We start from the raw sequence: 26,742 nt of genomic DNA on the forward strand, positions 1-26,742 counted from the left end.
TAGGAATTGGTTAAAGAAAGACTTTATGGTGATACAATTTAAAAATATCTCTATTAAAGAAATTAAATATACAAGAATAAATGGAGAGATAAACATTCATTGAATTTGAATCACAAAAATGTTAATTTTCTCCAAATTCATTTCTACATTAAAAAATCTAATAATATTTATAGAAGGATCAGTTTTAGAATTCAAAATAAGATTTTGAATTTCAAGCGGAAGAATAAAATTTCCCAAGTAACTAGGAATTTGAAACATAAGACAAAGTGTGTTGTCTTATGTTTTGTGGGCATGGGTGCAGGATACACTCTATCAGATATTTAGATGAATTATAACACTATGGTAATAAAATAATATGGTATTATGGCAGTAACATATAAATTGTCCAAAGAACAGAATAAAAAAAAACAAAATAAACTTCTTTACCTAGGGTAGTTTTGTATGATATCAAAGTGACATCACAAATCGATGTGGAAAAAAGAGATTCTGATATAAATAGAATCTTATATACATTAAAAACATTCAAATTAGATTAAATAAGACCAAAATGTGACACTTAAATTATAAAAATAATTGCATAAAAAAGAAAGAATATATTTTAAACTCTGAAGCCATAGGATGAAATTGATGAATTTGACTTTATTGAAGTTAATAATTTCTAGTCAACAAAGGCAAAGGTCAATGTTATGAGATGCATGACAGACTAGGAGAAGACATTGCAAAAACTGAAAGTGACAGGGATCAATATGTAGAATATACAAAGAACTCCTGCAAATGAACAAAAAAAAACCCCAATATAAAAAAAGCAAAGTGTATAAATACAAAATTCACAGAAAGGAGAGACAGAGTAGGTACAAAAAACAAGAAAAGAAGCTCAGAGAAATATAAATCTAACCAAAAATACAGTATTTTTAAAATAATGAGATTAGAAAAAGTTTAATAACCACATAAAATGTATATGCTGCTGAGGGGAAATGAAATAAACATACCACTAGTGGGAGTTCAAACTAATCTAATTCTGTAGGATAATTTCTGTACTGAAAATAAATATAGAAATGGTCAATGACCTAGTAACCCCACGCCTGGACATATATTTCAGAAAAACAATTACATTGGTCCATAAGGAAAAGCATCCAAAGATGTTCATTGTAACATTGCATATTGTATTAAAGCTTTGAAAGCAAACTTATTGTTCATCACAAGGGGAATAGATAAAATATGATATATGCCTTCAATGGCTTACTATGTGGCAGATTTCCTCCTAAAACACAGATAAGTCTTAAAATCTAGTGTAGGGTAAAAAATAAAAAACAGAATAAGATAGTCAACACAGCACCATTTCTGTATATTAAAAGTCTTACACAAACCAACATTATATGTTTTTCAAGGACTCACAAGGAGACATTGCAGAATGAAAGAGCCATGAGGGAATGAGAGAGCATTTCTTGATCTAAGCAAAAGAATTAATTCACTCTGTATTCTACCTATTCAAAATTTTTAAAAAAAGTACTATCATTCAGTTTCAAGAAACTGCTAAACATAGGGTTAGTGTTTTAAGATATTAGGTTCAGGAACTAGACAAGCTGCATTCAAATTTAGCTGACTCGTGCACTAATTATTTGGTCCTTGAGCAAGTTATTTAACTTCTCTGAGACTCCTTTTCTTCATCTATAAAATGAAGATATTAATGTTATTTCCCTCATAAAGAAATTGGGAATATTAAATTGTATAATGTATTTAAAGAACTCAGCATAGTGTCCAGCACACAGTTAGGCCCACGATTGGTTTCTGGCTGGACCTGCATTGTGCATCAGGTCAACCCTGATTCTATACTACTTTAATTCCCACTCAGGAGAAGCTCCCCGAAGCAGCCTCCTATGCATCTGCATCCAAACACCCGCATTTTTCCCCTGCCCTGAAGGCTTTTCTCCCAGTTTAAATTACATTATCCTGGAGTATCATCTGGCCTCTCTTGGAAAAGACATAAAGAGGAAGAAAGAAATTACATTTTCAACATATTGAACTTTTAAAATGAAACAAAGTATTTCCCTAAATTATCTAATTTAATCCTAATAGCAACCCTTCGATAGTATATTTATCCCCATTTATCTAAGCAGAATATACTTAACTAGGAATAACATCGCATAGCTAGTTAGTGGCAGAGTTGGCTTTGACCCTATACATTAAAAACTCAGTTTATGCATGTAACCAGTATGGCGTACTGTTTCTCATCACTTTCCGCAGTCTATTTAAGCACCACCAAATCTTATTAAACCCAAACAAGTAAGTCCTGTGTCAAATAATTCCTTGTGTGTAAAACCATACTCATATTAAACATCTACTTACTTAATAACCAGCACAGGAATTACTCTGAACTACTTACTTATTTCTGAGGAGAAAGTGGCTTTTTTTCTATATGTACAGTTAAAAATATAGGCTACAAATCTTCTTTTGATTTATAAGCATGAACAAATTTGGTACATTAGGGATGGCCAATTCATTTTTATTTCAAAAGGAAGACCCAGGCAAAATAAAAGTCTAATGGATATAAAGAATCTCTGAGAGATTATTACAAAAATACCTGCAAAATAGTGTTTAATATTAATTGCTAGTATTCTTCATTCGTAATGATATAAAATCCCATATTTTAAGGGAAAAAGTTAACACTTGTATGGCTATAGACTTCACTTTGGAAATTGCTCTTATGACTTTAGCTTTCTATGTGCTTTTTAAAATAGCAGACAGTTCTTCACTTCCCAATAAAACTGTGAAATTCGACCGAGAATGGCAGATTGAATTGGAGTGTGAATAGTGTGATTTAATGCTCCCGCTAGTCTGAAATGTTTTCCTGTTAGGCCCTTTTAGCGACCCCTCCCAAAAGTTTGTTTGCATTACCTAAAATCAGCGCTCCAAAGTTCACCACATTGCGAAACACACAGACTGCTATTATTTTCACAATGCTAAACACTTTTTTTTTTCTCACAGTAAAGTCCATTTCTCGTTTGATTGCATGTAACAAAATTTGTATTCTAAAGCTTCACTGTTTCAGAATCGTTCATCAAAGTTGTGATATAGGACTTCTGGCAAAATTATCCAAATAATCCCATATACCCTAAGACATTGTTTTCAATTCTTTTGTTTTTAAATTTAGTTTCTTAGGGGATGGGGTCTCACTATGCTGCCCAGGCTAGTCTTAAACTTCTGGGGTCAAGCAATCCTCCCACCTCTGCCTCCCAAAGTGCCAGGATTACAGGCATGGGCCACTGTGCCCAGCCTCTTTTCAGTTCTTTTAAAAAATAGTACTGTTAAATATATATTATGCTTAAAGAGCATTTTCATTCATGGGCTCTGCTATGTCTACTTTGTTTCTTTTTTTAATGTACACACATATACACTTTTGGTTTATGATCTTAAATCAAAAAAACACTTCTTACTTGGAGCAAAGTTTCTCAAGTTTAAAATTCTGTGACATGTTATGGCAATACATGATTATATTGGTACTTTTTTAAGATTGTACAATAGATGAAATGGTTAATTATTAATCTGGCTGGTATCTGTAATGAAAAAGGGAGTTCTTGCTTTTAGGCCACAGACTCAGTATGTAAATCTCTGGTGTTGCTGCAATCATAATATTCCTGCAGCTATGGTGTCACCTATTGTAATTTTTCTGCTAATAAACAAATTTGAACTAGCCAGGAATCCTAAATTTTGAGACTAGTTGTTTATCTGAAATATACTCCAGAGCAATAGTAATGCAGTTCTGCTTTGAATTTAATTTAAACAGAAACAGGCAAAACAAATCTCTATGGAGGATATTTGACAATAATAAAATATTTCTCCCAGCGGGTGAGCTGGTAGTGATTGTATTGTGCAATCCAAGCTCACGTTTCAGTAGGTCATTACCATCATAACAAGCCCTTGGACCAACTGGCATGGACATGCAACATTGAGCCCCTGATGGTCACATTATTTCAAACCTTTAACTTCATGAAGAACAAGACAAATACTCCTGGGAAAGCGGGATTATATTTTGAAATTCCTTTCTTTTCTATTTGTTTCACAATAAGATGCAGTACACAATCCATCTACTGCTACTTGTTTCTTTTTGTTTTTTTCCACACTACCAGGGGGCATGAGAAGCTAGATTTAGAGATTCGAAAGGCCAGATGCACTGACTTCAACACTTTCTCATCTATTAGTCTATGGTGCTATCCATTCAGGATGTAAACCATTGTGGATGAAACAAAAGCCTTAAGCATAGCTCTCTCTTCTTTCACAAGTTAATCACAAATTAAATTTTATAATAAGCAAAGTGCACCTAAAGTTTTTTGCAGAGGCCCAAGGATGAAGCATTCTATCTCGTTCCTACCTCTCACCTAAATCAACAACTTGAAAAATATAGGTAAGAGAAGTCCTTCCAAGAAATGAAAATTTTCTAACTTTGTTGCTCTTTTGTTTGTCAATAGGGAAAGACAGGTTTTTTGGATCCCACCTAAATTAATTCTAAAGCACATTAATGGGCCAAATGAGTAGGATTTAAAAAGCGGTGGGGGGTGTGGGGGAAGTTGTGAGATATTCTGCAAACAAGTTTTTGAGGAGCTATCCATCTCCACCTTTATAGGGAGATATAACAGGAAGATGTGGCTTGGCAGTCATCAAATAAAATGTATTTTTCATATGTTTTGTGGAGGTCAAAACAAAGTTCATTTCATTGGTTTGGTAAGGAAACAAAAGGTTAAGTACTTTCGTCTTGTTATTAAAAAGAAACCCTAATAAAAATTTAGAACCAATATTAAAAAGTTCATTATTTTTGGTTTATTTGAGAAAAGTATAAAAATTTTAAGCAAGTGTTTCTCCGTCTTGTCTTCAGGTTGGAATCACCTGGAGATCTTGTGTAAGCATTCCAAAACCCAGGACACATCTTGGATCAATGAAACCACAATCTCTGTGGGTGGGACATGAGGATCAGGAATTTTGACACTCCCCAGGTGATTTCAATATGCAGACAAATTTGGGGACCACTGGCGTAAAAATAAACCACTTATAAACAACTGGTGAAAATAAAAGTGATCCCTTAAAAAGATAATGCATTTGTCAGAGGTACTTGTTGTTTATGTATTGAGAAAGACAACATGCTGAAGTGTCAAAATCCTACTTCATTTTCTTTTACACCTATGGCAACCATGATAAATATGTCAGTACCAGAAAAGTTGTCCTGTAAGAATTTTAAGTTATAAAAACAGCAAGACAGTTCTAACAGGAATTCTTTAAAGTGTGTGTGCGTGTGTGTGTGTGTGTGTGTTTATGCCTAACATATTTTACAATGAGGACCTCTTGTAGAAGATTACAGACATGATTTTTCCTTTTAGGTTTGTATCTTGCATTGTTTGTTTCAGTCCCATCCAAGCACTTAAAAAATATCAAAAGTAAAACATGTCAGATTTTATGTTGAACTGTTGCCACTCAAAGGACATTAAAATATAAAAAAGACAATACTGAGCTATCTTGTTCGGTACTGCATCTTAGTCATTTAGGTAATCTCGTGGCCCTAAAACCAATTCAGTTTAGTGGCCTTTGTGTCATCAGCTTGCTTCTCTAGAGAACCAACCACCTCTGAAAGGTGAGAAATACGGTGGGCAAACACAATGACAAAACACCCTCAAGATAGGCAGAGAAGCCAAGAAAGCACATATTAGCACTTCGGTGATGGCTCCAGGAGGGTCCAGTGGAAGCTACAACTTGACCCTGAGCAGCAAGGGCTGTAACCTCTCTGAGTGTAAAAGGCAAGAGGAGGCCATTTGCTGTCAGCAGTGCTGTTTAACCCTCTTGAATTCGAAGACAGCTCCCCCTCCTAATTCACACGGATCTCTAAGCTCTGCTTGTTGACTTCTCATTCAGGAAATCTGGTCAGCAGCTCTACTGCTGCTCCACATAGCCTGCAGCTTGCCAAAGAGCTCGGAGCAAGCGCATGATTTAATTGTTGATAGAGGGAAATAATGGGTATCTCTAGCAGGCTTTAATATGATCTTAAAATAGGGGGAGAGTTTTCTGTTATGACATTGACATAGAGGCGATGATTTTGAGTAATGCAGGATGATGTGGAGATGCTTTAAGATTAAATAAGAGCTATATAAAGGCTTGTCAGAATGAATTCTAATGTGCCATGAGACACTTTGCATACTCTTAAATATGCAAAATGTCTCTTGGCACCCTAGAATTCATTCTGACAAGCCTTTATATAGCACTTATTTAAACTCCGACTTTATTTTTAGGGAACAGGTACTCAGAGATACTCTTTGAATGGAAGCAACAAAGGGCAGTGTTTATCAATTTGGTTCTTTAGCGGGGGGAAAAAAAGAAACACAATACAAAAGAGCAGTCAAAAGTGGAAGCTTGTTTAATATTGCTCTACCATCATCCTGAAAGGCATAATAATTTGAGTTACACATCTGAACTGATTGGAGTTACAGAATCATATCTCCTTTTTGCATTTAACAATATATACAATATAAAATAAATACATTTACACAAATGGACATTTGCTGGAGCACACAGTATGGTACACATCACAAAAATATACAATTGATTGCTTTACAGATGTGAAGCCCATCTACAGCTATAGACATGGTTTTATTATTATTATTATTATTTTTACTACTGGCTATAATGCAACTCCTGGATTATTATAAGCAGTTTAAATTTTTTGTCCTTTTACGATCTTTGCACATAAGACTGCCATAAAATGTTTTCCTAGGCAGGTAAACAGAGACGCTTAAATAATTAAAATACAATCACCAACACCCATTTTCTCTTCTATAAGAAAAATAGCAGTTTTAAATTTTTTATATCTTTTATGTTATCATTTAAATGCAAAATAGTGGAATAAATACAACAATCTGATCTGATTGAAACACAAGTGTAACTACAAGGAGTCACACAATCATATTGCTTTAAATAAGAACGAACCTAAAAGAAGCAAAATTAAAATTAAAATCATATGGCTAAAACATACACCTTTATAACTTTCCAAAACTTCACATTAAGTAAATGGTCTTGCTTGAAACTTGAGAAGACTTCCCTCTAGTGAGGTTTAAGATGAGCATTTACCCTAAAGCCCGTGCAGTTCTTTTTAAATCCACGTTTTAGTTTTATTTCCTATTTGTGAGATACTTACTCTTTTGTAATGCTGAGAGTTACTTAAACTGAAAACTAAAAAATTGTATCTCATTCTTTGAACATATCTCCATCTCAGGTTTTCAGTTGGTTGGCTCTTACTTCTGAAGCCCAAGTACTTTAATGTGATACAGTGAAAACAATGTATATATTGTATATATTTTATTTATATATAGTGTAGTTGAATAGTAGCAACTTAAACCCTGCACAAACTTTCTGGAAAATAATCTTTTTAAACACTTACATATATAAATAATCTTATAGAATCAGCACCTTTTTTCCCAGGAGTTGTATTTTCTGTTGTTATTTTTAAAGGGATGTGCCAATTTCTGAACTCCTATCACAGCTATAAATTTCAAGTTATTGACCATCTGAATGAATTGCTAATGATGATTTATCTAGAATCACACTACAGTCACTTCTCTACTGAGAAACCACAATCTACAATATAGTCCCATATAGCTAATGATAGATACACAGTATTCCTAGCACTGGGTTGATGTTTCATCAACCCAAGGTATTTTGTTTAAAGCACACAAAGTAGCAATAGTTTTGGAAACGAATCTGCACCAAAAAGTTTTGCAACAACACAGAGCGAGTTAATAACAACATCTGAGAGATGATTGAGTGAAAGCCATATATACAGCATTTAAAAATTAGACTTATCTATATTCTTGAAATATTCAAAGTTTTATTTCTAAGCTATACATTGGTATTCTATAATAAACCATTAGAGAAATTATTCCTTGTTTTGAAAATATTATTATGATTTTGATGTGTATCTGTTCATAATGAATACTTGTTTGGAGTTTCAATCTCTTAATTATTATTAGGAAGAACCTTATTACTGGTAAGGAATAGAATATACTACTGTAGTCTCCTGAGGAATTGTACATCCAATATTGTCTCTAATTCTACCCTGTGTCTAAAAGCACACACCACAAGAATCCAAACACCACAAGAACAAGACAACAGTCTTTGAATGCAACATAAAATTCAGAAAAGCACAGCAAACATGAAACATTGAAAAGCTGAACTACATTTCTTTTGTTTGTTAGGATTACAATTTTAATTACATCTGTGTACATAGAATAAGACTGTTCACATAATACAGGGAGCAGCTACTAACACTGGTCCATTGGTATAGCATTTGATGGAGGTTACTGTTTATTGGTTATTCAGCGACTGTAGATTTCGGGGCATCTAATTGATTTCTTCATTAGATTACACCTCTTAACAGTCTGGAACCTGACTTGACTTTCATGCTGTGACAATACTGGTTGAAAAGCACATATATTGGCTTAGCTCTTGGTAAAAACTGCAGATTAATTTAAACGAACATTCCTAAATGAATAAACTTATATGGATTAGGTTTTAGAATTTGGTCAGGCATTTTCTGTCTTTGATGATTTTTTTTTTTAATTCTGGCATTTGCCTTATTGCCTCTTAAATGAATACTGGCTCACAGCTCCTTCTGAGGCAAGGTCTGTGACTTTGCAAACAGGCAGTATCACATTCCTAACCACCATGGCAGCTAGAAATCATATGGCAATTGTACCTCCCAAGTAGAGAGGTGCACTCCTGACAATTCTACGGATCTATATCTCATGTGCAGTGCTTATATATGTGACTACTCAGAGTCACTGTAGGTGTAATCTCATCCTTTGTGTCAGTGAACATTTAGGTAAACTGGAGCTCATGTTAAGAAATTGATGTTTGGGACCAGACTGGCACACAACATAAATTGCATCCGTGATAATATGCACCTTCCCTTCAACTATTGCTTGAGTAAGTTAAATTCCCATATTAATAAATGGCTGAAAAGTGGTAAAGCTGGTACAAAAAAATCTCCATTTGTAAGAAGAAACAAAACATTTTTAAAAATCTTCCTTCAGGATTCATTTGTCCTTCATTATTGTTCGTAATTGTTCAAAGCCAGCACAAAATTGCAGTATTCTTATTTCTCTTTAGTATTGCATGAATGAATAAAGCTTAAACTATTCCCTGAAAAAGTTACATAGTAGCTAAACTAACAAATACCTGGAAGACTTGAAAAAACAATTAAGGAATCAAATGGCTGTAACTGATCTAGATGGAAAAGCAATGATAAGAAGCAGCCGATGCAACGTTGCTTAAGTTGTCTAATTAGAGGCTGCTCCCATGAAATCTAATACTGCACTCAGTCAATTTGTATATGTTGCACTGTACTTTTAGGAACGTTGGTTCTCTCTCTTTGATTCCTTAGTCATTGGGGACAGTATGGTTCACAATAAGTTCACTGGCATCCATATTATGGATCTCCATCCTTTGGCAGGGCTGGCTTCCATCTCTCTTCAGTTAGAGACCTCTTTTAAAAGTTCAGCAGCAGAAGGAAGAAAAAGAAAGATGGAAAGAAGGTCAAGAGGAAAGGAAAGGAAAGGGAAAAGGAAAGGGAAAAAGGAAAGAAAGGGAAAGGAAAGGGGGAAGGGAGGATTTTTTTTTAAACTAAAGCTATTTCAAATTTAGAAAAAAGGGGAAGGATGAGAAAAGAGAGGAATGAGAGTAGGTAAAGAAAAGAAAGAAGGCAGGCAGACGGGAAGAAAATAAAGGAGAATGGGAACTAGGAATGAAAGAAGCAAAGAAATAAGGGAGGTGAAAGAAGAAAAGGAGAAAAAATAAAGAGAAAGAGAAATGTGGGAAGAAAGAGGAAAGAAGATGATGGAGAAAGTAGAAAGAAACTCATCAGGAACCTATGGAGGAATCTGAAAGCTGCTTCATAGTCTTGCTGCTAAATTATCAGTGCAGTCTGTTGATTTTTGATGTTGTTAACTAAACTCTAAGTTTCTTCGACATCACTCTTGGGTTTATTTTCCCTTTTTCAACATGAAGGATGGGAAGGCCCAGGGAGCTTTTAGTCAGACCTTGGCCTCCAACATTTCCAAAAAAAGTTTGTGCATTGGGACTTTGCCTTCTAGTTTGATGTTGTAGAAATGCTGCACGGCCTTGGTAGAGGTCTGCCTCAGGAGTGGCAGTGTCATCAGCATCTTGCCAGCTCGACGAGGGTCTTCCATGTGCTGGCCAGCTTCATAATCCTGCAGCGCTTCATGTAAGACATCCTGAAGCTTCTGAACGGCTTCAACATCTTCTATGTGCATGGAGTCTGTGCAATGAAGCAAAAGATATGAGTAATTATAATAATAATAGCAAACCTATGTAGACTAGAGTTATAAAATTAGTTATTAATTTAATTATTTTTGAACTTCTCTGAGCTTGAACCTATGATTTGTTCAGAGTCTTGCATTTCTACAATCTCTATTTCTTTCCAAATTTCCCTACATAATTTCTAATACTAGCTTAGAAAATGGGAATTATTAGAAAAGATCTATGATTTAAAATGTGTATTTTTCTTTCTCAGGCTGAGCAAGAGAAGGCTTTCTTTTAACAGATTACAGTCTTGACTATTTTATTCATTGTCTCATCCAGGTATATATTCATTCACTCAATAAACAACCACGGAAGGCCATCTATTGAAAGTATTATCTTAGTGCTGTGTGGGGGAAGGTTGTTTAAAATTCTGATCTTGCCTGGAAAAGCCAATATTTCCCAAACAGGGGAAAAAATTGTTGACTAAGATTCTAAGAACTCCATGTGACTACATTGAATCTAGCACTATACAGAAATCACAATAAATTATTTATCCTTTCAGGATGTTTAATGTTCTAGTATCAGTTGATTAAAGCATCCTTACAGAGTCTACTTCCCTGATGAAAAACAAATGGTGTCTTCAGATCACTGAGTTCTGAAATATTTTTCGCATTTGTAAAGGTGAACTTTGCCCTTAAATGAATAATTTGAAAATCTAATTCAATCAAGCAAAGAAAGGGTTAACAAGGTTGCCAAATTATTCTTGTGAGAAATGTGAGATGTGGGGAAAAAATAAAAGTTACAGCTCCAGCTCTAAAGCAGACACTTAATTATATACAAGTTTGAATCATTTAGCACGTTTTATTGATTCTGATGACAGTTTATCTGTTAATTACACATAATGGAGTCTTTGGGGGATTCTTCATGTTTAATAATTCTAGTTCTCTGAGAATGCTGAGCTCTAAGATATATGTAGTTAGCCTAATCTTTCATACAATTCAAACATAGATCACATGAACAAAAAGAGAGGGAATGTAATTTAAAATCAAGTGGCTAAATATATAATAAAAATGAAATATGGCAAACTAATTAAAAGATAACCAGTAGCATGTCTTAAAAATTTATTTGTATTTTGTTTAGTGTTTTTTTCACTTACATTGTCATTTTGAATCATTCCACCATATCACTGGTGAACTGACCACTATTTACATTAGGTAGTTTAATGACACCTCTTTAAAAAATTTTTGAATAATCTGGAATAAAGTTGCTTATAAGTATTTACTGCTCAAGACTCAATTTCTGCCTGGCAGAGCAAAAAGAAGGAATTTTTCCAAGTGGGAAATAGCATTGATAGTGGTTCCCTGGAGCGGGACTCAAGTCACTCCCCAACATACGCCTGGCCTTTCCCTGTGGATTGTTTCTACCCAGCTTCTCTCCAGTCTGGTTCCTCTCAGCATGGCAATCTCATCCACCTCCTATGGTGCTGTCTCTTAGAAACAAACACACATAATTTCTAAAGTTGTCTAGGGGTTGGTAATCTTAGGGACAGAAAAACATTCATAGAGATGATGGCAACATGATCTGATATTCTTTCTCTCTATTTTTGCACTTAAATGCTACCTGAAGGAAAAATGGGAGGTATGGGGAAACACTATGGTGAGTCTCTAGATACACAAAAGACTGCAATATGGACCTTGTGCATAAGGGAACAGAGATGAGTTGGATTTTCCCAACTTATCCTGGGTCTAATAATTAGCTCTCTACATGAAAACAGAGTAATAGATGGAAGGAGAAAATGGGAATTACACTCTGCAGTGACAAAACAAACGAAATAACTATTTTCCAACTAGACCAAAAACACACCAGAATAAAAATAATACATTTACCATTTATTAAGCACCTATTTCAGGTGAACATGGCCTCATTTTACCTCCCCAAGCCCTAGAAGACACGTGGCACTGGTAATATGTGTCAGACACAGGTTTAAATTCAGGATTCTTCAAATCAATAATGCTGCTAGAATGTAGAACACTAAATTTGCATTCCCTTAAAAATTGGGATGAATTGTCCTCTAAACACATCCTATTCAAACTCCTATCTTCATCAGCTGTCTTCTTTACAACATTCTTAATGAAGACATTGCCAGTTGTATGAAAAGTATGTAGAGTATTCTCCTTGATAAGAGGCAAAACTAATTATTATGAATTTCCTCTTTAAATTTTCCTAAATCTGTCTCCAAATTCTATCATTTGGTCCTGTTTCTAATTACTAGAACAATACAGGATAAATTTCCTTTTTCTACATGGCATATCTTTAAGTGCTTGAAGTCAGCTGCACAGTTACCTCGGCCCTACCCATAGTCTTGCCTTTCCCACTACTCTTGCCCAGCAGGAGATATATTATAGGATGTCATGGGAAATGAGACAAGAACAAATAGCAGAGAGATATGCTCACAAACAGCAATTAAGATTTCAAACTATTCTTTCAAGGCTGTGATTTAGCATGAGAGATTTAAAAATGATTTAATCAAATTACTATGATAATTTAACTTCCCATTTATAGAAAAGATTCTAACTCATTTTAGCTTTACCCATTCTCGGATCTGCTAATACTTTAAATGCAAACTCACTAAATTTGAACTATTTAATTAGACAATGATTCAGCTGGCAGACTGCTGAAGAAAATATTAATCTCCATTAGGGATCCTAGTTCAAGTTCTGGATCTGTGGTTTTAATCTCTGTTTTGTTCTTTTGGTTAAATTTACACGTTGACACCAGGCTCAATAGAACTGGCATTAATGTATGTAATTTATTTTGTTTTCATTGTTCATGCTGGTTTCTTTTTAACTATGCTTTAAAGGAAATATTCCTAGTATTTGTGCTAATAGGAACCAGCTAAACTTAATGGATATCATAAGTTTATGAACTAACTAGACAGGACTAGGCTACATATTAAAAACAATGGGCGAGCTCTTAAAAATCTTGGATACTGGGCCCAAGTCTAGATCTATGAAGTAAGAGACCAGAACTAGGACATCAGCATTGCTGAAAATCTAGGTAGTTCTACTGCCAAGCCAGGATTAAGAACTACTACTGAATTAGACAATAAGACAAGCAAATACTATTCTAAAAGAATAAATATTTCAAAAGATAACCAGAGTGTATATGAAACACATATTATTGCCCACATATTAAGTCTAACACCTAATAATAAAATAGAACTTTATCAAAACTTCCAATATTTTACTCTGTGAAAGAGATCCTAAAAAAATGTGTCTAGTTCAGATCATTTACTTTGGGAAGATAGCTAAATATCATCATCCTTGCAGCTGCAAATTGAATAAGACAGAGCCACTGAAAAAGAAGATTTTATTTTTATATCTTCCCTTGAATAAAATACTGCCCTTCTCTATGTTAGAAAATATTAATCATTGTGGGCCAGGTGCGGTGGCTCACGCCTGTAATCCAAGCACTTTGGGAGGCCGAGGCAGGCAGATCACGAGGTCAGGAGATCGAGACCATCCTGGCTAACACCGTGAAACCCCGTCTCTACTAAAAATACAAAAAATTAGCCGGGCGTAGTGGTGGGCGCCTGCAGTCCCAGCTACTCGGGAGGCTGAGGCATGAACCCGGGAGGCGGAGATGGCAGTGAGCTGAGATCGCGCCACTGCACTCCAGCCTGGGCGACAGAGCCAGACTCCGTCTCAAAAAAAAAAGAAGAAAACATTAATCATTGTGTGCACAGACATAGCTACTCCAAAATACCTAAGTCCTGCTTGGGAACTTTCTTCTGGACTTTTAGACCATTCTTGGCAATACTTTCTCAAGAGTGCCAAATCTCATTTTGAGTATGGAATTGAATATTAGATACAGGCACAGTATATTCAGAGTCGAGCCTAGTATATAACATAAACCAACAGTCAGTGTAAACTTTTCTGTGAAACGCAGGACTTGATTTTCTTTGATGTTTGTGAACTGCCTACATAAAGATGGGTAGTAAGGAAAGGGTGAATGGGACTCTCTCCAATCATTGAATGAATGAAACAGAATGTCATGGAAAGAATAGAGAAGTGGAAAAAGGTCTATTTTCTAAAAGATACTTTGTATCTTTAAATTTCCATATGCCATATATATGCCACCTAACAGAGTGGTTCTTCGGGTAGCAATTGGCTAGGGTACTGAGGAACACTGGTTGATTGCCATGTCAAATGGACTTTAAGTTAACAGAGATGGTAGAATTTTTTTAACCTCTCCAAATGATCACATAAACAACAACAACAACAACAACAACAAACAGAGCAACTACATGACAAAACTAAAAATTCAGGGACATTTACAGAAAAACTAGGTGACAGGGTATTCCCAAAATATACATAAATTCACACACACACACACACAGACAAATACACAATGAGGTCTATGTGTGTCTGCATCCCCAGCTCCGTACTTATGTAGGCAGATGATGTTGGCCTAGGAAGAATGGCCAACCCTGGAAGGCACCTTGAGTGCCCAGGTTGTAATCTGATTCTAGGCTTCAGCCAGAAAATATTTAAAATGAACATGGAATATTTTGTCACACCGAATAGAAAGGATATTATCTAGAACTACGAGGTATTCAAAAAGATTTCAGAAGCCAACCCGAAGAGGTTCCCACTGAAAAAAATGGGACAATTTGGGCTTCAAAAAGGATTATAATTGCAACTGATTGAAATCCATTAAATATGTTTGAGTACATGTGTTTATAATTTTTTTCAATAGGACACCAATTATTTACTCTGAAAGCTGCTAAATAAAGAGAAATAATCAAGCATTTATACTACTTTTCCTAAACAAATTGTAACACTGGTAACCAAATAAGAGATAAGAGAAAGCATTACTTTATACATATCCCACCTACTGAATGAAAAAAGAGAAGAAAAACAACAAAATTACAAATCACTGTTTTTCAGCCCCCAGTGATTAATAAATTTAGGTAATGAACGTCAACAGTTGCTAACATCACAAAAAGAGACAGAAACAAACATTATGTATCTTGCAATGAACAATACATCACTTATAGGTGCCATAGGGATAGAACCTGAGTCTGATTAAGTCTCGGGATCCAGTAGCCAATTTGCACAAAATGCAAAGGGCAGAAAAAACATGATGAACTTCTCCAAGACTATGCAATCTTCAAAATCCAGACACTGGAAAACCATGTACATCAAATGCCCTGGCATCTTCAACTAATAAATTGTAGGAAAAATAAAATGAAGGAGGAACTTTGGAGTACAGACTTAAAAATTCATCCATAATTTTTTTATGGGTAAATGAGCAAGACTAAATTGTAGTAACTAAGTATACACATTTATTTAAAAAAACTATAATAAAATAAAAGGAAGTGATGACTATAAAACTCAGGATAGGATAGTGATTACTTTTGTGGGAAGGGAAGGGGCTGAGATAGGAACAAGACACTTGAAGGGCTTTCAGGGGTTACGTTACAAGTTTTATTCTTGACCTTGCTTATGTACTTATCGTGGTAGGCTGAAAAATGGCCCTGAAGATATTCAGGTCCTAATATCTAGTATCTGTGAATGTTACCTGCTATGGCAAAATGAACTTTGTAGATGTGATTAAGTTAAGGACCCTGATATGGGAGATTATCCTAGATTATTCAGGTGGGCCCTCAATGAAAGCAAGTGTCCTTGGAAGCAAAGGAAGAAGAAGGCAATGTTACCACTGAGGCAAAATGCTACTGCTGGCTTTAAAGACGGAGGAGGGTGCTCAGCACCAAGGAATTCAGGCCCAGGAGCTGGAAAAGGTCATGGAAACGGATTCTTCCCTAGAGTCTCCAGAGGGAGTGAAAACCTGTCCATACATTGTCTTACACCTAGTGAAACTGATCGACGTTTGACATCCAGAACTGTAAGAGAATAAATATGTGTCATTTAAAGCCATCAAGTTATGGTCATTTGTCAATGTAGCATAAGAAACTCATATACTCGTTAAGGTCTATATTTTTATGTGTTTTTGTGTTTTCTTTTGCATTAAAATGATATAGATAAAAAGAGAGAGAGAAAGAAATTTCTGGTGGATGGTCTCTTCTAGAAAGTAATGAATCAAGCAGAATTCTTTGGCGGCTGTAGAAACAGGTGGCAGAAATATCAAGGAAGCCTTTCACATATCAAGTAGGGAGCTGAATCAAAAAAATGTTTAGGTTTCTTCCAACCCAGAAATCTTATGATTTTAAAATCGAAAATAGTAATAATAATTCTGATTTTTCTGCTTAACCATGGTGACAATAATATAACTTTCCATGTCAGAGCTCTCCATTAAGATACTGTTAGTTTTTTTAGAAGGCCTGTTTTCCTTATTTCTTGCTGTGGCTAAAAAGCTAGTTTTCTTTGACATTTACACCAGCCACACAAATCACTCTGACTGTATTTATATAAAATGTTGAACCACAGAAAACCTCCATGGTCGTGGTTGTAGTTTCTTTCCTTCAGGCTTCTTACAAGTCCCAAATTACTATTAATATTGTTATGTTTACCTTGCATAATGGGATTTACCTGCTAGGTCTTTTCTATTTTTCTATAATTACTTAAGGCCTTCCATCTCTCTCTCCATATCTTACACTTTTCCAGGGGGTTTTTAACTCATTTTGCTACAAGTCATAAAGACAATTATAGTATACTGGGTAAGTGAATGTTGATATCAATTTGGGTGGTGAATAGTTCAACATTTCAAAACATCATAGATGATCTGCACCATGCTAATGACGTTTTGTAACAGAGCTCATTATCTTATGCTATAATCATTTCCTGGAAATAAGCAACTGCAGAGTATTTTATGTGCTTATTGCCCAGGTAATAAGCACATATTACCCAGGTATTTACTCAGGTAAATACCTTTGGAAGGCCAAAGCTATTTGCAGCAAATATTTCTGATACTATGCCAAGACACAGTGACCATTGAACATGAAAAGAAATATTTAAGAGCCAGCTTTTATGTTTTTTACCTAAAAATTGCAATACTGTAATATGTTTAAAATTTAAGGGTTGTATTAAATTTAAAAAACTCACTTCCAAAATATCTTATTCTAAATAGAATTAAAATAATCCAGTAAAGGCAGCCTTGAATAAAAACCAATGAAAAGTAAACTAAGAGATGAAAAGTTATAATTTTGATTTCTTATTTACCTGATAGTATTACTTATGGTTTGTTCTGGGTAAAAATTAGGAACAAAGCTCTACCTGCCACACAAAGCTTACATATATTCATTTCTCATAAAATGTTATAATTTCTTGGTAAACATTTCATGTTCAATTTTGTCACTTTCTTGGGTAGTTTTATACTCCTCTAACTCCAAGAAGATGGCAAGATAAAGGAAGTGGGCATGAAATTCTCAATCAAATTAAAAATACTAATTTAGGCTCCCAGATGTGAAATTGTAATGGGTAAAGTCTTCTGCATTAATCCTTTTAGAAACATGTATATAATTATTTGTGGAATAGAAATAGCTCATTGATAGCAAAGGACAGAAGGTCCCACCTTCTGCCTCATAATAGCCATGCATGATTATCAGCTTTCTTCGCATACCTGTGAAATAGTACTGGACATGCCTACTGCACAGGCATGTTGTGGGAATCAAATAAGATTCCCTAGAAGAAGCTTAAAAAAGGAAATGTCTACAGAAAGATTCTGAAAAAGGATAATCTCTTGACCAGCAGCTAAAACTATCTCCAGAATATCAAATCAACTAATTTAGTCAAAATTTTGTAAAACTGGCTAAGGCCCAGTTTTACTTTATACACACACACACACACACACACACACAACACACACTTACATATGCACATATATATACATGTATGAAACCAAACTGGCCACCTTTACTTAAAAGTAATCAATCTAAAATTTTCAGGCCATTTAAGGGATATTAGACATTATTTAATTCACCTGCCTTATTTTACAGATGAGAAAACAGTTATGTATTTAAGCGATGTATTCTCAAAGGAGGTGAAATTTGGAATTAGAGAGTAGAAAATATTCCTCTTTTTAGGTAAAATGCGTATATATAATATAATATATATATGCATGGATGTGTGTACACGTATGTATATATGTGTGTGTATGTATGTATGTGTATATATATATCCTAAATAGATGGCATTACTATTTCATCGGGGGGTTATTAGGAAAACCATATCTAAAAAGGCTCCCCTAATGGAGTGATAATGAAAACACACTAAGTCAAACCTATATGAGAGTCCAAATATCCTAATTAAATATGGTGCCCATTCCAGTATCCTACAGCAATCATAAACTTTCTATACCTTGAAATTACACAACTCTGCATACATAACCATTTGTCCTTAAGAACAACAGAATGCTGTCATGAGGTTGTTAGAGTTATTTATGATTTTAAATTGATAACCAAATTGTTATTTGTAGCTTGATATCAATAGGTGCTATTATTCTGGAAATAATGTGTAGAAGTAAAAAAGAAAACTTGACTTGAAAAATGTTTATTCTTGAATGGATTGGACTCACCTGGCTTCAGGCTGGGGTGGGGTAGGGGTGGCAAAGACTGTGATGTGAGTGGCAGATTTAGAGATTGAAGTTCTTATGACTCGAGCAACAGAGAATTGTCAGACTAAAGTGATTCATTAGCTTAAACTGCTTTTAATCTTATAGTATATAATTTCAAACAAATTCTTAATATAAGAATCAAGAGATTCAATGAAGAGAAATAAATCCTATCATATAATCTTACCTAGGTGCTTATAGAAATATTTTACTATATTTTCTAATATATAAATGAAATTAATTATAGAATCATAGAATTCCAGAATCGGAAAGAATTTGATATTAGTCAAACCTCGTTATATACATGAAAAAACTGGGGCCTCAGAATTACAATATTAAAATTGTGACCTAGAGTTTTCTTTTAAAATTCAGTTGCACAGAGATATATCAGAGATGTAATAATTACTCAAGAGGTTGTTAATACTAAAAAATAAGAGAATACATAGCTTAAATGAGACTGTAAGTTTCTTATCTTCAAAAGTAATTGGAACTATTATTTAGGGTTTTCAAAGATTTGAATGTGAAAACTGCAGAATTATAACAGTTCATGACATATTGTTGTTTTGGCCACACACACGAAGATAGAGTTTCCAGTGATGTTCTGGTGTTATAAGTATTCCTGAATTCACTTATGACAGAAACAAAGCTATAAAAATATGAAAGCCATCATTAGGAAGCCAGTTGCCTGTTTTCCAAGCATAAGCACAACATTTATAATGATTGAATAAAGACCAATGTTTAAAATAAGCTAAAATTTAAGTAAATGAGTCAATGGTTTTTAATACCTACAGCCATGTAGGAAAAGCTAAGATACCTACCTAAATTACACTGAAATAGATTTTCATTTTTGCACAAAAAGTTACTTATGTTAATCTGGAATTCCTAAACACACACACATACACACACACACACACACACACACACACACACAGAGAGAGAGAGAGAAACGACAAAAAAAATAGAAGCCCTTTAGGGTGTCTAAAGTATTAAAATATTTTTATACTGATATGTGTATGGGCAGTTTAAAAAACCTACATTGGATCTAAGCAAGTTTGAGTCTACATTCAATCTTGGATCTATAACTTTATTGCTGTGCTCCAAATAACAGTCAAAAATGGAATAAAATAACATCATATTAACAATATCAAAGAAAATGACTTTCTGAGTTGTTTACCCCAAACTAAAATGATGGGGCTTGCAGGTTAGGTGGGTGAAGAAAAGGCCATAATTACACAACACAGTAGAGGTGGCACAATTTGGAGATTAAAATAGTCCTTAGAGTTCTTAATCAGTTATTCTTTAGTAGGGACTCTGATTCAATTGATTTTTCTCCGTATTGAGGGGCTAAGTCAATGATGGAATCACCTGCAAGAATATTTTGGGACAGAGACTTTTTTTTAGAAGAAGCAATGTTACTCAACTACCATGATAAGAGAAGAAAGGAGAGCTTATTGACCATTTCTGACTTTAGACATGAAAAATAAATGAACTAATTCTTTAAAGACTTTCTAATCATCAGTCACTGCTGTGAGGTAGTCACTTCCTCTCCCAGAAGTAGAATATGTGGATTAGGACGTTTATCTATCAGAAATATTAATGCTTATACTTCTAAGCAACAGAGACAGAAATGCTGCTACTAATTAATTCAGTTACTCTAAATTATAATAGTCATAAAGTACACATCCAATATCTAAAATTATACATTTTTAGCAATTTTGTTGATAAAGTTTTAGCATTGCTCAGCATTCATGGTTAGTTAATAATTTTTAAAAGCAATTTGAAACATAAAAGATTTAACACAGGCTTTAGTATATTTTAAAAACAATTAACCAAGTAAATGTTTTAAATTAGAATCGTTTCATGATTGCCAAATAAAAATTCTTCCCAAAACCACTGTTATAAAATATTTCATCTCATTATGAGAGATGGTATAATGTGAAGTCCATACAAACTAATAAATCCTCAGAAAATTTCTACCCCATCTCTCACTTTGATCTTCTGGAGAGGGAGGGCAGGGGATTCTTCAGGGTTCATAATAACAATGTCATTTGTCATAAGAAATCATATTTTATAATTTCACAGGAGCGTAGAAGAAGAGAGGTGCATGGTGTGGTGAGGAAGAGGGTTATATTCACAATTAAAACTGTGAAATGCTAAACTGCATTATGAAGACAAATAGGAAAGTACAACTCCATTGTTGAAAACAATTTCCCTCCTATCAGTCTAAGGATTCATGCATCAATATTGTAGATGAACTGTTAATTACAAAATCAATTAAAAATTATTTCTAAAAACAGTCACGCGTCCCTGGCTCTCATGGGGGCAATTTGGGCAGAAGGTCTCATCTCACTAGGACCGCGCCAAATCACAAAGTCGTCATCCACAAGTAAGCAAAAGCAATCTGGTTTTTCATTTTTCAGCGCGGCTGAGCCCAGCCTGAGATTGATCGTCACATATGGCCCCAGAAAACAAACTGTCAATACCTTGAATGCTGCAGAATTTGAACAAATAGCCGTCCGCCCATTCAAGCCACTCATTGCATCCCATTTAACAGATTTTATTGACAGTTTCCTTCTTGTAATTAAAGGGAAAACTACTGGCCGGCAACCAAGATAAAGTTCAAAGATAGGGTCAAAACAAAAGCAGATGGAGGGGCACGGTGTGACTGTCAGTGGTACATAGCATCAGAGCACGTTATTGACACGCAGGTATCTAATGATCGGCACGTCATTAAGGAGGGATCTATCCTGAACTTTATGCAAATGCTAAAAGAGACTTAAGACCATAATAAAGCATTAAGAGAGGCACAAAGGGAAAAACAACAAAGCACCAACGATTTTTACTTATTAGAGGTTGCTATTTTAGCATGTTTCAGTTCGAATGTAAAGACCAGTTATTCCCATAATTCTTAACCCTTACTGCATAGGCAGAATTTGACTTCTAAAGAACTCCAGAATGTAAGAAAACTGTTCTTTGATAACCAAAACTCAAAGCAACACTAAATATATTTTCCCAATTGCACAATTTGCATTTTTGAGGGAAAAATGGTTTGTGTGTATCAACAATTCCCTTGTTTTAACTTACGCATAAAATACAATAGAAATAATTTTGTCCTGGGAGTGTCCATTTATGCTATTACTACAAGAGCTTTTGCTTTGCCATGATCCAAATTAGTACATGCATTAGTTGATAAAAGTTTCAAAGCATTCAATAAGCAAGTCAAATGAAATTAATTCCCTTTAAGTATATTTTTCTTATTTCTAACTTTTCACTAGAAAGCTATACTGATTATAATTTTGCTGACTCATACAAAATTTACAAACCAGGTCTAGCAAATCCCTAAAGAAGTTAAGGAGAGGGGTAAAACTGACATATTAAAAAAAATGTAACAATGACTATGTCAGTATGCCAACCTGAATTAGCAAGAGCTATAGCTTTGAGGGTGACAAATTCTTCTTTTTCCAGCTTCATGCTCTTGTATTTCTTTACCAGCTGCAGGATAGCATTATTTAGATCAAGAAGGCCTGCTAATTTGGACTGGTCTTCGTCCATTATATAATCGTCTGCATAGACAAGTTCATCCTCAAACGAAAGAGACCGGTATACGACACCAAGGATCAAAATTTCCATCCAAGCACTCTGCAGAAGGCTCATCTGGTCCGCCAGGGACAGCGTGGAGAAGCCTGCATGGAAAGATGGGCAGATCAAGTTACTTTAAAGCCATAATTTCATAATGCAACATTAGTTTCATATGGTAGCTGGCTTCTGCATCAGTGCTCAAAATTATGCTGAGCTTTGATTAGAAGCTCTTAAAATTTTCCCTGGATCACTTTGCGAACAGCAAAGTGAAAGTCACAAACCAGCTTCTTCAATTTGTGGGTATTTGCTATAAGTTTTATAGACACAGCTTAGGGGAATATAATAGAGATGTCGCTTTCTTTCATTCGAGAAGAAAATACCATGTAATCTTTAAATATACTTGATTTCTGGTTGAAGTCTTTAGGAAAATCTTACAGGAAGTCAGATTTTCAACTATCTCATCTCTAAAAACTACTATTGGTAAACAACATAAAAGTAAAAAAAAAAAAAAGAAGAAGAAGGAGAAGAAGAAGCAGCTAAAAATAAAAGGTAAACAAACAATTTAGGCCATAGAGCTCAGCACAACTTGGAAACATTTCTGTATAATATTAATAATTACAAGCACAATGGATGATGAGTTACAAATAGGTGAGCCTTCTTAATTGGCTATTTCTCCCCACTGATATTTAACATGACTTTCTTTTAAAATTAGTGATAATAGGTATAAAAGAAAGTGTAATATGTAGCAGCCTGGCCTCCCCACCAAAGAGAAAAGCCTCGTTCACTATTGTTATTAAGCTCCAATTATTTAAAAAGTTAAATATAAATAAAGGTAACAGGGTTTGGTGCAAAGGAGTCAGATTCTGAATGTAAATACTGGCTCCACTTAGCTACTGGCTCTTTCACCTTGAGCAAGAGAAATTAACTTGTCTCTTAAATTTCGTATTTGGGAAATATAAAATATCACCTACCTAAACATTAAGCTATAACCTGAAATTCAGTAAGTGTTGTTGTATGATTAATATATGTTCTTTTTATCTGAATTACCTATGTGATCAATTCTTTTCTGCAAATCTGGGATGCATTCATACACGCATATTTAAAGTCCCTCTGAGCTTGAGAAAACATATGCAAAAAAATTAAAAAGAAAATGTTGTTCAATAGAGAAAGAGGAAGCAGTACAATTAAGCCTACTTAGGAGTGAAGATATATATTTATATATCAGAGGGACTAGATCTGTATTCTAAAGTGAAGATACCTGATGATCAGAAGCTTTTCTCAAGTCCTAAAAAAGAAATGTTTCTTAAAACTTCACTTTTATTTCCAAGTGTATGCCTAAGACTTCTAAGGGTAACCATCCACCTCATGGCTTCTGAGGACAGTGGTACCATCATTTAAGGTCCTGCCACCAGTAATTCTACAGAAAGGAAGGACCATTTTTAATAATGCAACTTAAGAAATCTATTTTTACTCCCTTTCTAGACATTATTATCCAAATCATAAGTAGCCACTGATGCCCAACCTTTTTAGGCTGCTGCTTATGGTCACTGTTGCTGTCCTTTTCAATCATATCAAATTGTGGGTATCCCATATGATATTAGAAACTACAGCACAGTAAAGAAAAGGAAAGGATTTCCTGACCTATTGGTGAAAAACAGTGGTTTGCCATTTGGTACCATTAATTATAAGTGCTTAATAAAATCATCAGAAGAGATGAGTCAAGCTTTTCTTAAGGGAATCTTTAAGATATGTGTAAAATGCATTTCTTTCGTTGTTTATCATGGTGCTTACATGTTATTTGACAGGATTTCTTTTGGACTGGCTGTGTAAGTCTTGTTTCTTATTCTGCTTTTGTCATTGCATTTGGGGTTAAATTAATAAATATCCTCTTAGAGATATAATAGCTGATAACATTTTAAACAGCGGTTCAACACAGAAAACTAAATTATTTAACCTAAATAGGTTAGGCTCCAGATGCTTTTAATTTTAGCAATGTTATATTCACAACAAACAAACAGAAAACCACACTGCTCTTTTTTCTATTCCCCTCCAAGGAAAAAAGGTGCAATGCAAATCCAAATATCAATCTCAAGAAAACATACTAAGTAAGAATTTCTTGTGTAAATTAAAATACCAAAAAAAAAAAATCATCTGGAAAGTTAGGAGCAAAAATGAATGGGTCTTTTCAATTTGCCTTAGTTTTCTTGTTCCTTTTCATGCTCCCAAGTCGCAGTTTCTCTGCAGCAGCAGATGGACAGAGCGTGTAGCCCGCAGCACCTTCCTGTGACAGCCCTATTCTCCCTCCCAGACACTGCTGTTAGTAAATAGATTTACACATTCTCCAATCTCCACACATCTTTCTGCCGAATAATTAAAAGCAGGATGATTAGTTTATTGAGTGGAAGGAGGAACTTTTTTATTGAGGTCCATCCACGATTTTATCAGGGCCAGCACTTTTACGGTTGTCAGGGGGGTGCAGGCATCCAATTTTTCTTATCTGCCTGATTAATACAAACGCTGTTTCAGGACACATTAATTAACAGATACAAATCTACGTTCTCATGGAAGGATCAATACGGAGAAGAAAAGAGGCATCAATGTGAATTTAGTGCTGATGATGGAGAAGGCACGCTAGCGACATTTACGTGCACGGAAACTTTAAAGTTGCACCGGGCCCCCTTTGTCCCTGTGATTTACAAATTAACAATGTTACAGCCATAACAACATTTCGCACATTTCTTTGGGGTTTAATTGAACAAAAAACAATAAAATTTCATTTTTAAAGTTGATCCTGCAATTTGTTTCTTCTATATTGATGGTTGTGTGTGTGTATATGTGTGTGCATGTGTGTGTGTTTATCCTTCCTGCAAACCTAACTTTTTCCTTTTGCTTCTCTATGAAATAAAGAGAAGGAAAAAAGGGGAAGAAACAGCTCTCCTTTTTTTTTTTTTTTTTTTTTTTTTTTTTGGTGAGGGAGCATGAGGAGACGGATATAGCACAAAAGGTTTGACACATTTGCTTGATTGATATCCTCAAGTATATTTCAGCTGATTAAAGGAAGTATACTTTTTGCAAATCCAAAGGAAAAAGGACAATCTATGCCTTACAAAATAAAATAAAAGTCTGAACTTCTTCTATCTTTTCTTGGTCTAGAAATTGCTGGCTCTCATTTTACCCCTTTCCTACCACACCACTGCAATCTGGAAGCTAGTACAAAGAGCTCTCCTGCCCAAATGCCTGAGCAGCAGTTAAGACAGCCTTGTTATAAGATAGTCATGTTCATCTGGTCACTAAGGAGACCAAATACATAATAGAAATTTTATCTTAATTCCATAAAATTATTTTACCTTTTCTTTAGGAGTACTAGCTACGTTGCACATACATAAAAACGCATGGATAAAATAACATTTTTATCAATAGACCTGAACAATGTATAAAATTCTAAATAACCAAGGCCTAAATGAAAATGCATGTTTTAATAAGCTGAGTCTAAGGAATTTTCTTAAAACATAATTGCTCTATTGGCTTACACATGCTTGTATCCAAATGATAATTACTTGTTTATGTTTATACCAGGTATTTAATGGTAGTTTATAGCTCTTGGGCTACAAGTTAGAGGTCTTCATCATCTGTAATATTTAGCTATCTTTGGAGAGAAACCTCTTTCCCAAGTGAAATAAAATATGCTTTGCAGTTGTGTCGTTTGAACTTCATGTTTTGTACATCCTGGGACCTTAATCTTTGGTGTGTGACAGGTTATAGTTTTAAATGTTCAGCCATATTACAGCTTTTTAAAATGCACTGATACCATGGCACATTTTTTCTTCCACAGCTATAGCCCATTCCCTGCATATCGCTGACAACTCGGATCTCTCTTCATCTCTGTCCCAGAGTCAGTGCCATTTAATGTATCTCAGGCATTTTGCTTGCAGAATGACTCTCTACCTTGACCCGCAGTTAAATAGCATGTTTATCTGCAATACAGTGTGCTCCAAATAAACCAGATGACAGTTGGGAATAACATCATTTGGAAGGATTGAAAAGCTTCTCAAGAGGCAGGTACCCCTGAGGTAATAGGCTTGAAGAAAGCATGTTTTGTGCCAACCGTCTTGCCTTCTTCTACTGGAAACTTTGGAGGTTGACAGTGGTGCCATGGGCACTCATCAAGCACTGTTTTTTTTTTTGTTTTTTTTTTTTTTTAGCCTGGCAAACTGATGCACTTTGCAGTCAACTTACAAAAAAGGCTAAGCATTTGAAAGTGTGAAGGGCAAAAAATATCTGACGGCTAGTCTTCAA

General features: G+C 34.7%; 1 protein-coding gene across 56 annotated transcripts in view; it reads right to left on the bottom strand.

The window, feature by feature from the left end:
* The window catches only part of ESRRG (estrogen related receptor gamma), a 634,457-nt gene continuing 614,089 nt past the window's right edge, over nt 6,375-26,742 (bottom strand). For 38 of the 56 annotated variants that reach the window (XM_017000625.2, XM_047449371.1, XM_017000622.2 and 35 more), the window contains 2 exons: nt 22,281-22,550; nt 6,375-10,312 (listed from right to left, as the gene is read on the bottom strand). In XM_017000625.2, the coding sequence (XP_016856114.1) occupies nt 10,068-10,312; nt 22,281-22,550 (515 nt within the window). In that variant the 3' untranslated portion in view covers nt 6,375-10,067. The remainder of the gene's footprint in view (nt 10,313-22,280; nt 22,551-26,742) is intronic. The other 18 variants (NM_001243511.3, NM_001243510.3, NM_001350124.2 and 15 more) reach the window with 1 other exon arrangement.

This window comes from Homo sapiens, chromosome 1 (genome assembly GCF_000001405.40).
Source record: "Homo sapiens chromosome 1, GRCh38.p14 Primary Assembly".
Lineage (NCBI taxonomy): Eukaryota > Metazoa > Chordata > Mammalia > Primates > Hominidae > Homo > Homo sapiens.